Below are 14,592 nucleotides of genomic sequence, written 5' to 3'. Positions count from 1 at the left end.
TGTATCCTCTTTTATTTCCTTGAACAGTGGTTTGTAGTTCTGCTTGAAGAGGTCCTTCACATCCCTTGTAAGTTGGATTCCTAGGTATTTTATTTTCTTTGAAGCAATTGTGAATGGGAATTCACTCATGATTTGGCTCTCTGTTTGTCTGTTGTTGGTGTATAAGAATGCTTGTGATTTTTGTACATTGATTTTGTATCCTGAGACTTTTCTGAAGTTGCTTATCAGCTTAAGGAGATTTTGGGCTGAGACAATGGGGTTTTCTAGATATACAATCAAGTCATCTGCAAACAGGGACAATTTGACTTCCTCTTTTCCTAATTGAATACCCTTTATTTCTTTCTCCTGCCTAATTGCCCTGGCCAGAACTTCCAACAGTATGTTGAATAGGAGTGGTGAGAGAGGGCATCCCTGTCTTGTGCCAGTTTTCAAAGGGAATGCTTCCAGCTTTTGCCCATTCAGTATGATATTGGCTGTGGGTTTGTCATAGATAGCTCTTATTATTTTGAGATACGTCTCATCAATACCTAATTTATTGAGAGTTTTTAGCATGAAGCATTGTTGAATTTTTTCAAAGGCCTTTTCTGCATCTATTGAGATAATCATCTGGTTTTTGTCTTTGGTTCTGTTTATATGCTGGATTACACTGATTGATTTGTGTATATTGAACCAGCCTTGCATCCCAGGGATGAAGCCCACTTGATCATGGTGGATAAGCTTTTTGATGTGCTGCTGGATTCGGTTTGCCAGTATTTTATTGAGGATTTTTGCATCAATGTTCATCAAGGATATTGGTCTAAAATTCTCTTTTTTGGTTGTGTCTCTGCCCAGCTTTGGTATCAGGATGATGCTGACCTCATAAAATGAGTGAGGGAGGATTCCCTCTTTTTCTATTGATTGGAATAGTATCAGAAGGAATGGTACCAGTTCCTCCTTGTACCTCTGGTAGAATTCGGCTGTGAATCCATCTGGTCCTGGACTCTTTTTGGTTGGTAAGCTATTGATTATTGCCACAATTTCAGAGCCTGTTATTGGTCTATTCAGAGATTCAACTTCTTCCTGGTTTAGTCTTGGGAGGGTGTATGTGTCGAGGAATTTATCCATTTCTTCTAGATTTTCTAGTTTATTTGTGTAGAGGTGTTTGTAGTATTCTCTGATGGTAGTTTGTATTTCTATGGGATCGGTGGTGATATCCCCTTTATCATTTTTTATTGCGTCTATTTGATTCTTCTCTCTTTTTTTATTTATTAGTCTTGCTAGCGGTGTATCAGTTTTGTTGATCCTTTCAAAAAACCAGCTTCTGGATTCATTAATTTTTTGAAGGGTTTTTTGTGTCTCTGTTTCCTTCAGTTCTGCTCTGATTTTAGTTATTTCTTGCCTTCTGCTAGCTTTTGAATGTGTTTGCTCTTTCTTTTCTAGTTCTTTTAATTGTTATGTTAGGATGTCAATTTTGGATCTTTCCTGCTTTCTCTTGTGGGCATTTAGTGCTATAAATTTCCCTCTACACACTGCTTTGAATGTGTCCCAGAGATTCTGGTATGTTGTGTCTTTGTTCTCGTTGGTTTCAAAGAACATCTTTATTTCTGCCTTGGTTTCGTTATGTACCCAGTAGTCATTCAGGAGCAGGTTGTTCAGTTTCCATGTAGTTGAGCGGTTTTCACTGAGTTTCTTAATCCTGAGTTCTAGTTTGATTGCACTGTGATCTGAGAGACAGTTTGTTATAATTTCTGTTCTTTTACATTCGCAGAGGAGAGCTTTACTCCCAAGTATGTGGTCAATTTTGGAATAGGTGAGGTGTGGTGCTGAAAAAAATGTATATTCTGTGGATTTGGGGTGGAGAGTTCTGTAGATGTCTATTAGGTCCGCTTGGTGCAGAGCTGAGTTCAATTCCTGGGTATCCTTGTTAACTTTCTGTCTAATGTTGACAGTGGGGTGTTAAAGTCTCCCATTATTATTGTGTGGGAGTCTAAGTCTCTTTGTAGGTCACTCAGGACTTGCTTTATGAATCTGGGTGCTCCTGTATTGGGTGCATATATATTTAGGATAGATAGCTCTTCTTGTTGAATTGATCCCTTTACCATTATGTAATGGCCTTCTTTGTCTCTTTTGATCTTTGTTGGTTTAAAGTCTGTTTTATCAGAGACTAGGATTGCAACCCCTGCCTTTTTTTGTTTTCCATTTGCTTGGTAGATCTTCCTCCATCCTTTTATTTTGAGCCTATATGTGTCTCTGCATGTGAGATGGGTTTCCTGAATACAGCACACTGATGGGTCTTGACTCTTTATCCAATTTGCCAGTCTGTGTCTTTTAATTGGAGCATTTAGTCCATTTACATTTAAAGTTAATATTGTTATGTGTGTGTTTGGTCCTGTCATTATGATGTTAGCTGGTTATTTTGCTCGTTAGTTGATGCAGTTTCTTCCTAGTCTCGATGGTCTTTACATTTTGGCATGATTTTGCAGTGGCTGGTACCAGTTGTTCATTTCCATGTTTAGTGCTTTCTTCAGGAGCTCTTTTAGGGCAGGCCTGGTGCTCAGCATTTGCTTGTCTGTAAAGGATTTTATTTCTCCTTCACTTATGAAGCTTAGTTTGGCTGGATATGAAATTCTGGGTTGAAAATTCTTTAAGAATATTGAATATTGGCCCCCAGTCTCTTCTGGCTTGCAGAGTTTCTGCCGAGAGATCCGCTGTTAGCCTGATGGGCTTCCCTTTGTGGGTAACCCGACCTTTCTCTCTGGCTGCCCTTAACATTTTTTCCTTCATTTCAACTTTGGTGAATCTGACAATTATGTGTCTTGGAGTTGCTCTTCTCAAGGAGTATCTCTGTGGCGTTCTCTGTATTTCCTGAATCTGAATGTTGGCCTGCCTTGCTAGATTGGGGAAGTTCTCCTGGATAATATCCTGCAGAGTGTTTTCCAACTTGGTTCCATTCTCCCTGTCATTTTCAGGTACACCAATCAGACATAGATTTGGTCTTTTCACATAGTCCCATATTTCTTGGAGGCTTTGTTCGTCTCCTTTTATTCTTTTCTCTCTAAACTTCCCTTCTCGCTTCATTTCATTCATTTCATCTTCCATCACTGATACCCTTTCTTCCAGTTGATCGCATCGGCTCCTGAGGCTTCTGCATTCTTCACATAGTTCTCGAGCCTTGGCTTTCAGCTCCGTCAGCTCCTTTAAGCACTTCTCTGTATTGGTTATTTTAGTTATACATTCATCTAAATTTTTTTCAAGGTTTTTAACTTCTTTGCCTTTGGTTTGAATTTCCTCCTGTAGCTCGGAATAGTTTGATCGTCTGAAGCCTTCTTCTCTCAACTTGTCAAAGTCATTCTCCGTCCAGCTTTGTTCTAGGGTGTCAATTTGGATCTCTCCTGCTTTCTCCTGTGGACATTTACTCTATAAATTTCCCTCTAAACACTGCTTTACCTGTGTCCCAGAGATTCTGGGAAGTTGTGTCTTTGTTCTCATTGGTTTCAAAGAACTTGTTTATTTCTGCCTTCATTTCGTTATTTACCCAGTAGTCATTCAGGAGCAGATTGTTCAGTTTCCAGGTAGTTGTGCGGTTTTGAGTGAGTTTCTTAATCCTGAGTTCTAAGTTGATTGCACTGTGGTCTGAGAGACTGTTTGTTATGTTTCTGTTCTTTTGCATTTGCTGAGGAGTGTTTTACTTCCAATTATGTGATCAATTTTAGAAATAGTGCTATGTGGTGCTGAGAAGAATGTATATTCTATTGATTTGGGGTGGAGAGTTCTGTGGATGTCTGTTAGGTCTGCTTCGTCCAGAGCCGAGTTCAAGTCCTGAATATCCTTGTTAATTTTCTGTCCTGTTGATCTGTCTAATATTAATGGTGGGGTGTTAGACTCTAACACAATAATAGTGGGAGACTTTACATCTCTTTGTAAGGTGTCTAAGAACTTGCTTTATGAATCTGGGTGCTCCTGTATTGAGTGCATATATATTTAAGATATTTAGCTCTTCTTATTGCATTGATCCCTTTACCATTTTGTAATGCTCTTCTTTGTCTTTTTTGATCTTTGTTGGTTTAAAGTCTGCTTTATCAGAGAGTAGGATTGCAACCCCTGCTTTTTTTTGGTTTCCACTTTGTAAATATTCCTCCATCCCTTTATTTTGAGCCTATTTGTGTCTTTGCACATGTGGTGGGTCTCCTGAATACAGCACACTGATGAGTCTTGACTCTTTATCCAGCTTTCCAGTCTTGTGTCTTTTAATTGGGGCATTTAACCCATTTACATTTAAGGTTAATATTGTTATGTGTGAATTTGATCCTGTCTCTATTATGCTAGCTCTTTTTTTTTTTTTTTTTTTTTTTTTTTGCCCATTAGTTGATGCAGTTTCTTCATAGTGTTGATGGTCTTTACAATTTGGTATGTTTTTGCAGTGGCTGATACCAGTTGTTCCCCTCCATGTTTAGTGCTTCCTTCAGGAGCTCTTGTAAGGCAGGCCTGGTGGTGACAAAATCCCTCAGCATTTGCTTGTCTGCAAAGGATTTTATTTCTCCTTCACTTACAAAGCTTAGTTTGGCTAGATATGAAATTCTGGGTTGAAAATTCTTTTCTTTAAGAATGTTGAATATTGGCCCCTATTCTCTTCTGGTTTGTAGGGTTTCTGCAGAGAGATCCACTGTGAGTCTGATGGGCATCCCTTTGTGGCCAACCCAACCTTTCTCTCTGGCTGCCCTTAACATTTTTTCCTTCATTTCAACTTTGGTGACTCTGATGATTATGTGTCTTGGGGTTGCTCTTCTCAAGGAGTATCTTTATGGTGTTCTCTGTATTTCCTGAATTTGAATGTTGGCCTGTCTTGCTAGTTTGGGGAAGTTCGTTTGGGTAATATCCTGAAGAGTGTTTTCCAACTTGGTTCCATTCTCCCTGTCACTTTCAGGTACACCAAGCAAACATAGGTTTGGTCTTTTCACATAGTCTCATATTTCTTGGAGGCTTTGTTCCTTCCTTTTCATTCTTTTTTCTCTAATCTTGTCTTCATGCTTTATTTCATTCAGTTGATCTTCAATCTCTGATATCCTTTCTTCTGCTTTATCGATTCGGCTATTGATACTTGTGTATGCTTCACAGAGTTCTCATGCTATGTTTTTCAGCTCCATCAGGTCATCTATGTTCTTCTCTAAACTGGTTATTCTAGTTAGCAATTCCTCTAACCTTTTTTCAAGGTTCTTCCTTGCATTCTGTTAGAACATGCTCCTTTAGCTAGGAGGAGTTTGTTATTACTCACCCTTTGAGGCCTACTTTTGTCAGTTCATCAAACTCATTCTCCGTCCAGTTTTGTTCCCTCGCTGGCAAGGAGTTGTGATCCTTTGAAAGAGAAGAGGCATTCTGGTTTTTGGAATTTTCAGTCTTTTTGCGGTGGTTTCTCCTCATCTATGTGGATTTATTTACCTTTGTTCTTTGATGTTGGTGACCTTCAAATGGGGCTTCTGAGTGGATGTCCTTTTTGTTGATGTGTTGATGTTGATGCTATTTCTGTTTGTTAGTTTTGCTTGTAACAGTCAGGCCTCTCTGCTGCGGGTCTGCTAATTTGTTGGAGGTCCACTCCAGACCCTGTTTGCCTGGATATCACCAGCGAAGGCTGCAGAACAGCAAAGATTGCTGCCTGTTCCTTCCTCTGTAAGCTTTGTCCCAGAGGGGCACCCGCCAGATGCCAGCCAGGGCTCTCCTCTACAAGGTGTCTGTCAACACCTGTTGGGAGGTATCTCCCAGTCAGGAGACATGGGGGTCAGGGACCCAGTTGAGGAGGCAGTTTGACCTTTAGCAGAGCTCGAATGCTGTGCTGGGAGATCCACTGCTCTCTTCAGAGCCGGCAGGCAGGGATGTTTAAGTCTGCTGAAGTTGCACCCACAGCTGCCCCTTCCCCCATATGCTCTGTCCCAGGGAGAGGAGAATTTATCTATAACCCCCTGACTGGGGCTGCTGCCTTTTGTTCAGAGATGCCTTGCCCAGAGAAGAGGAATCTAGAGAGGCAGTCTGGCCACAGTGGCTTTGCTGAGCTGTGGAGGGTGCTGCTCAGTTCGAAATTCCCAGAAGCTTTGTTTACACTGTGAGGGGAAAACCACCTACTCAAGACTCAGCAATGGTGGATACCCCTCCCCACCAAACCAAGCTTGAGCGTCCCAGGTCGGTTTCAGACTGCCGTGCCGACAGCAAGAATTTCAAACCAGTGGATCTTAGCTTGCTGGGTTCTGTGGGGAGGGGATCCGCTGAGCTAGATCACTTGGTTCCCTGGCTTCAGCCCCCTTTCCAGAGGAGTGAACAGTTCTGTCTCACTGGCATTCCAGGTGCCACTGGGGTATGAAAAAAAAAAAAAAAAAAAAAAAAACTCTTGCAACTAGCTCAGTGGCTTCCCAAACAGCCACCCAGTTTTGTGCTTGAAACACAGGGCCCTGGTGGTGTAGGCACCTGAGGGAATCTCCTGATCTGTGGGTTGTGAAGACCTTGGGAAAATCATAGTATATGGGCCAGTGGTCACTGTTCCTCATGGCACAGTCCCACGTGGCTTCCCTTGGCTAGGGAAGGGAGTTCCCTGACCCATTGCCCTCTGTGGGATGCACCCACTATCTAACCAGTTCCAGTGAGATGAGCCGGGTACCTCAGTTGGAAATGCAGAAATCACCCACCTTCTGTGTTGATCTTGCTGGGAGCTTCAGACCAGAGCTGTTTCTACTCAGCCATCTTGCCAGCCTTCCTCAGGAGTTTCTTTTTGTTTTTCGTACCCCAGTGGTGCCTGGAATGCCCATGAGAGAACCATTCACTCCCCTGGAGAGGAGGCTGAAGCCAGGGAGCCAAGTGGTCTGGCTCATCGGATCCCACCCCCATGGAGCCCAGCAAGCTAAGATCCACTGGCTTGAAATTCTCGCTGCCAGCACTGCAGTCTGAAACCGACCTGGGAGGCTCAAGCTTGGTGGCGGGGTAGGGGTGTCTGCCATTACTGAGGCGTGAGTAGGTGGTTTTCCCCTCACAGTGTGAACAAAGTCTCCGGAGCCCACCTCAGCTCGGCAAAGCCACTTTAGCCAGACTGCCTCTCTAGATTCCTCTTCTCTGGGCAGGGTGCCTCTAAAAGAAAGGCAGCACCCCCAGTCAGGGGCTTATAGATAAAACTCCTATCTCCCTGGGACAGAGCACCTGGGGGAAGGGGCGGCTGTGGGCACAGCTTCAGCAGACTTAAACATTCCTGCCTGTTGGCTCTGAAGAGAGCAATGGATCTCCCAGCACAGCACTCAGTACAGAGTGGCAAAATTGGATGAAGAGTCAAGACTCATCGGTGTGCTGTATTCAAGAGGCCCATCTCATGTGCAAAGACACACATAGGCTCAAAATAAAGGGATGGAGGAATATTTACAAAGTAAGTGGAAAGCAAAAAAAAAGCAGGGTTTGCAATCCTACTCTCTGATAAAACAGACTTTAAACCAACAAGGATCAAAAAAGACAAAGAAGGGCATTACAAAGTGGTAAAGGGATCAATGCAATAAAAAGAGCTAAATATCTTAAATATATATGCACTCAGTACAGGAGCACCCAGATTCATAAAGCAAGTTCTTAGACACCTTACAAAGAGATGTAAAGTCTTCCACTATTATTGTGTTAGAGTCTAACACCCCACCGTTAATATTAGACAAATCAACAAGACAGAAAATTAACAAGGATATGCAGGACTTGAATTCAGCTCTGGATGAAGCAGACCTAATAGACATCTACAGAACTCTCCACCCCAAATTAATAGAATGTACATTCTTCTCAGCACCACATAGCACTATTTCTAAAATTGATCACATAATTGGAAGTAAAACACTCCTCAGCAAATGCAAAAGATCAGAAATCATAACAGTCTCTCAGACCACAGTGCAATCAGCTTAGAACTCAGGATTAAGAAACTCACTCAAAACCGCACAACTACCTGGAAACTGAACAACCTGCTCCTGAATGACTACTGGGTAAATAACGAAATGAAGGCAGAAATAAATAAGTTCTTTGAAACCAATGAAAACAAAGACACAACTTCCCAGAATCTCTGGGACACAGGTAAAGCAGTGTTTAGAGGGAAACTTATAGCAGTAAATGCCCACAGGAGAAAGTGAGAAAATTCTAAAACAACACCCTAACATCACAATTAAAAGAGCTAGAGAAACAAGAGCAAACAAATTCAAAAGCTAGCAGAAGACAAGAAATAACTAAGATCAGAGTAAAATTGAAGGAGATAGGCTGGGTGCTGTGGCTCACACCTGTAATCCCAGCACTGGGAGGCAGAGGTGCGCAGATCACGAGGTCAGGAGATCGAGACCATCCTGGCTAACACAGTGAAACCCCGTCTCTACTAAAAATACAAAAAATTAGCTGGGCGTGGTGGCGGGCGCCTGTGGTCCCAGCTACTCCGGAGGCTGAGGCAGGAGAATGGCGTGAACCCGGGAGGCAGAGCTTGCAGTGAGCCGAGATTGTGCCACTGCTCTCCAGCCTGGCTGACAGAGCGAGACTCCGTCTCAAAGAGAAAAAAAAAAAAAAAAAAAAAAAAAAGAACTGAAGGAGATAGAGACACAAAAAACCCTTCAAAAAATCAATGAATCCAGGAGCTGATTTTTTGAAAATATCAACACAGTAGATAGACCTCTAGCCAGACTAATAAAGAAGAAAGGAGAGAATATTCAAATAGATGCAACAGAAAATGATAAAGGGGAGATCACCACTGATCCCACAGAAATACAAACTACTATCAGAGAATACTGTAAACACCTCTATGCAAATAAAGTAGAAAATCCAGAAGAAATGCATAAATTCCTGGACACATACCCCCTCCCAAACTAAACCAGGAAGAAGTTGAATCCCTGAACAGACCAATAACAAGTTCTGAAATTGAGGTAGTAATTAATAGCCTACCAACCAAAAGTCCAGGACCAGACAGATTCACAGCCGAATTCTACCAGGGGGGTGCAAAGTGGAGCTGGTACCATTCCTTCTGAAACTATTCCAAACAATAGAAAAAGAGGGACTCCTCCTTAACTCATTTTATGAGGCCAGCATCATTCTGATACCAAAACCTGGCAGAGACACAACAAAAAAAGAAAATTTCAGGCCAATATCCCTGATGAACATCAGTGCAAAAATCTTCAATAAAATACTGGCAAACTGAATCCAGCAGCACATTAAAAAGCTTATCTGGCTAGGTGCGGTGGCTCATGCCTGTAATCCCAGCACTTTGGGAGGCTGAGGCAGGTGGATCACAAGGTCAAGAGATTGAGACCATCGTGGCCAACATGGTGAAACCCCGTCTCTACTAAAAATAGAAAAATTAGCTGGGCGTGGTGGTGTGTGCCTGTAGTCCCAGCTACTTGAGAAGCTGAGATGGGAGAATTGCTTGAACCTGGGAAATGGAGGTTACATTGAGCTGAGATGCCACTGCACTCCAGCCTGGTGACAGAGCGAGACTCTGTCTCAAAAAAAAAAAAAAAAAAAAAAAATGCTTATCCATCCTGATCCAGTTGGCTTCATCCCTGGAATGCAAGGGTGATTCAACATATGCAAATCAATAAACGTAATCCATCACATAAACAGAACCAATGACAAAAACAACATGATTATCTCAATAGATGCAGAAAAGGCCTTCCATAAAATTCAACCCCCCTTCATGCTAAAACCACTCAGTAGACTAGGTATTGATGAAACGTATTCAAAATAATAAGAGCTATTTATGAAAAACCCACAGCCAATATCATAATGAATGGCCAAATGCTGGAATGATTCCCTTTGAAAACCGGCACAAGACAAGGATGCCCTCTCTCACCACTCCTGTTCAACATAGTATTGGAAGTTCTGGCCAGGTCAATCAGGCAAGAGAAAGAAATAAATGTATTCAAATAGGAAGAGAGGAAGTCAAATTATCTCTCTTTGCAGATGACATGATTATATAATTAGAAAACCCCATTGTCTCAGCCCAAAATCTCCTTAAGCTGATAAGCAACTTTGGCAAAGTCTCAGGATATAAAATCAGTGTGCAAAAATCACAAGTATTTCTATAAACCAATAATAGCCAAATCATGAGTGAACTCCCAGTCACAATTGCTACAAAGAGAATAAAATACATAGGAATACAGCTTACAAGAGCTGTGAAGGACCTCCTCAAGGAGAACTACAAACCACTGTTCGAGGAAATAAGAGAGGACACAAGCAAATGGAAAAACATTCCGTGCTCATGGATAACAAGAATCAATATCATGAAAATGGCCGTACTGCCCAAAGTAATTTATACATTCAATACTATCCCCATCAAGCTACCATTGACTTTCTTAACAGAACTAGAAAAAAACTACTTTAAATTTCATTTGGAACCAAAACAGAGCCCACATAGCCAAGACCATCCTAAGCAAAAAGAACAAAGCTGGAGACATTACACTACCTGACTTCAAACTATAGTACAAGGCTACATAACCAAAATAGTATGGTACTGGTATCAAAATAGATATGTAGACCAATGGTACAGAACAGAGGCCTCAGAAATAACACCACACATCTACAACCATCTGATCTTTGACAGACCTGACAAAAACAAGCAATGGGGAAAGGATTCCCTATTTAATAAATGGTGTTAGGAAAACTGGCTAGCCATATGCAGAAAACTGAAACTGGACCCCTTCCTTACACCTTTTACAAAAATTAACTCAAGATGGATTAAAGACTTAAATGTAAGACCTAAAACCATAAAAACCCTAGAAGAAAACCTAGGCAATACCATTCAGGACATAGGCATGGGCAAATATTTCATGACTAAAACACCAAAAGCAATGGTAACAAAAGCCACAATTCACAAATGGGATCTAATTAAACTAAACAGTTTCTATACAGCAAAAAAAAACTATCATCAGAGTGAACAGGCAACCTACAGAACGGGAGAAAATTTTTGCAATCTATCCATCTGAAAGTGCTAATATCAAGATGCTGCAAGGAACTTAAAGTCACAAGAAAAAAACAACCCCATCAAAAAGTGGGCGAAGGATATGAACAGATACTTTTCAAAAGAAGACATATATGTGACCAACAAACATATGAATAAAAGCTCATCATCACTGGTCATTAGAGAAATGAAAATCAAAACCACAGTAAGATACCATATCACACCAGTTAGAATGGCGATTATTAAAAAGTCAGTAAACAACATGCTGGAGAGGATGTTGAGAAATAGGAATGCTTTTATACTGTTGATGGGAGTGTAAATTAGCTCAAGTATTGTGGAAGACAGTGTGGCGATTCCTCAAGGATCTAGAACTGGAAATACCATTTGACCCAGCAATTCCATTACTGGGTATATACCCAAAGAATTATAAATCATTCTACTATAAAGACACATGCACACGTATGTTTTTTGCAGCACTATTCACAGTAGCAAAGACTTGGAACCAACCCAAATGCCCATCAATGTTTTACTGAATAAACAAATTGTGGCACATATATACCATGCAATAACTATGCAGCCATAAAAAAGAATGAGTTCATATCCTTTGGAGGGACATGAATGAAGCTGGAAACAGTCATTCTCAGCAAAGTAACTCAGGAACAGAAAGCCAAACACTGCATGTCCTCCCTCATAAGTGGGAGTTAAACAATGAGAACATATGGGCACAGGGAGGGGAATATTACACAAGGGGGCCTGTTGCGGGTGGGGGGCAAGGGGATGGATAGCATTGGGAGAAATACCTAATGTAGATGACGGGTTGATGGGTGCAGCAAACCATCATGGCACATGTATACCTATGTAACAAATCTGCACGTTCTGCACATGTATCCCAGAACTTAAAGTATCATAATAAAAAATTCATTTAAGTGATCTTTACCCAGACCTTCTCTTGTTTCTGCTTTTTTCACCTATTTCTATAATTCATTGATTTTTTTTTTTGTTCATTGTTTTACTTTTAAAATACAAATACTTCTGCCTTTGGTAATCTGTTATAAGCTACCCTCATCTAACAATTTTCTCCATTTTTCAATTTTTGCTAATACATTTTCGGAGTATTCTAATACACATTTCAGATTTTTATCTACCTAGATAAAACACCTCAATATCTGAAGGCCTACATCCTGCAAATGTAGCATGGGATAAATTTTAGTATATATCATGTCTTTTTTTTTTTTTTTTTTTTTTTGAGGTGGCCTTGCTCTATTGCCCAAGCTGGAGTGCAGTGGCACAGTCATAGCTCACTGCAGCCTCCACCTCCTGGGCTTAAGCAATCCTCTTACCTCCATCTCCCAAATAGCTGGGACCACAGGTGTGTGCCACCATGCCTGGCTAATTTTTATTTTTTGTAGAGACAGGGTCTCAGAAGTTATCCAGGCTGGTCTCAGATTCCTGAGTTCAAGCGATGCACCCACCTTGGCCTCCCAAAGTGCTGGGATTACAGGCATAAACCACCACATCCAGCCCATGTCTGTATTAAGTTGATTATATACAAAGCAGTTTAATGGGTCAATTAAGAGCCCAACCTTCGCATCAGCCTGTCTGGGTACAAAGAGCTTGTTAGCTATAATTCTGGACAAGTAACCAATCTTTCATTTTCCCCATACATAAACTGGGGAAAAAAATTCTACCCGTCTCATTTGGTTATTAATAAACATTAATTAACAGATAAGCATTAATAAGAATTATTAATTATAAATAAGTATTAATAAGAATTAACATGTCTAAAAGGCTTATAATAGAACCTAGAACGTAGTAAGTACCATATAATTATTGGCTATTAGTATTTCAACGGTTAAAATAACAAAAGTATCTTAGAATAAAGTGTGGAGAAGTTTTAAGTACATTTTGTCTTTTAAAGGTCCAGACTACATAAAGGATTATTTACCCAAAATTCATCAGCACACCTCCTATGTAGGAGAACAGCATCTGGCGTTAGAAAAAACTGGAGATCTCAGATATTTATGGAGGCCTGCCTCAAATAGAAGCTTGCCAGCAAAATATAAACATGAGTACGTCAGTGAAATTGGTTGGAGAATACCACAGTATAATTTTATCAACAAATCAAGACTGGGGAGTGGCTTTCATATCAAGGTATTGCTCTTAAATTTATGCTTTTCATAGTATACTGTTTTCTAACTTGAATTCTTTATGAATTTGCTTCCAAAGGAAATGTCGGGTGCTTGATTTCTCATTGAGACATAATGAGGTTTGAGTTTTGCAGAAAGACACATGTGTGAATAAATGCATGTGCTCCACTCCTGGAGCCCTTTAATACATCAAGGGAAGGGTATGAGGAAAACAAAGCCATGGATAATCCAAAAGCGTTTGTGTTTGTCTTTGGAATGTATTCTGATTCACATTCAGGCTGAGGCACTTGCACACACTCTTCCCCCATCCTAGCACTGCTTCATGCGTGGACGATGGAAAGAAAGAAGCCTGTGCTGGGCATCCCATAATCCACAAACCTAACACGTGCATCTCAGATCTTTAAGATTCACTGTACTGATAATGCCTTCGTATCAAGTATTAATAATTCAGGGTATGTTGTCAGAGGGTTTTAGAAACCTTGTCTTATTTCCTTTTGGTGATGTAGACATAGGCATGAGATCCTGGTGTCTCCCCTGAAACAGAAGAGTGCACAAGGGATTTTAGAAGTAAAATCTGAGAATTTGGATATTTTTTTCCAGACAGGCCTGTGCATTGTCTGAAAATTAAATGTATCAATCATGCAATAACTGAATTTCCTCAAATTCTTAAGTTTCATCTGGTAAAGGTTAACAAAAGGAAAAACCATTATTTATTTATTTAGAGACAGGGTCTCACTCTGCCGCCCAGGCTGGAGTGCAGTGGCACGATCTTGACTCGCTGTAACCTCGGCCTCCTGGGTTCAAGCGATTCTCCTGCCTCAGCCTCCCAAGTAGCTGGGACTACAGGCACATGCCATCAGGCCCGGCTAATTTTTGTATTTTTAGTAGAGATGGGGTTTCGCCATGCTGGCCAGGCTGGTCTTGAACTCCTGACCTCAGGTAATCCACCTGCGTCGGCCTCCCAAAGTGCTGGGGTTATAGGCGTGAGCCACCACACCCGGCCAGAAAAACCTTTTTCTGGCCCAAACTATGGCAGTCCAGGAGGGTGGATGGGAGCACAGTCTTTGAGGTTACACTCTGATTTAGGTCTAGCTCTGTGACCTTGGGCAAATCAGTTCACCTCTCTGCATCTTTGTTTGCGCCTCTTCTACATGGCAGTATTCAGAGGCCCACTTCACAGGATCATCTAAATTTCTATCCTAGTTCTGCCACCTACTAGCTGTGTATGGCCTTGGTTAAGTTCATTTGCCTCTGTGCGTCAGTGTCTTCATTATGAAATCTTAGTTCTAGGATATTTTTTCTAGGCAGGCCTTTGCATTGTCTTTGCTCAGGTAACAGGCTGTTGTAAACAGTGCATAAGTTAATATTAGTAAAGCACTAGAAGCAGTAACTAGCATGTATCAAGCCCTATATGCGTTTCATATTGTTATGTTGTGAGGACTATATATGAGAACCCAAGGAATGCACTGAGCGCGATCCTGGCACCAGGCTGACATCCAGATTTTAGCTATTAGTACTGTTGTGGTTGTATTT

At 41.1% G+C, this 14,592-nt stretch overlaps 1 protein-coding gene across 5 annotated transcripts in view; it reads left to right on the top strand.

Moving 5' to 3' along the window:
• Nucleotides 1–14,592, top strand: part of SPMIP2 (sperm microtubule inner protein 2) — a 189,752-nt gene that overhangs the window by 96,744 nt on the left and 78,416 nt on the right. For all 5 annotated transcript variants that reach the window (XM_011531671.3, XM_011531672.4, XM_047449676.1 and 2 more), the window contains one exon: nucleotides 12,831–13,063. In XM_011531671.3, the coding sequence (XP_011529973.1) occupies nucleotides 12,831–13,063 (233 nt within the window). The remainder of the gene's footprint in view (nucleotides 1–12,830; nucleotides 13,064–14,592) is intronic.

This window comes from Homo sapiens, chromosome 4 (genome assembly GCF_000001405.40).
Source record: "Homo sapiens chromosome 4, GRCh38.p14 Primary Assembly".
Taxonomy (NCBI): Eukaryota; Metazoa; Chordata; class Mammalia; order Primates; family Hominidae; genus Homo; species Homo sapiens.
Note: the sequence above shows the minus strand (reverse complement) of the source record. Positions and strands in the feature narration are given on the sequence as shown.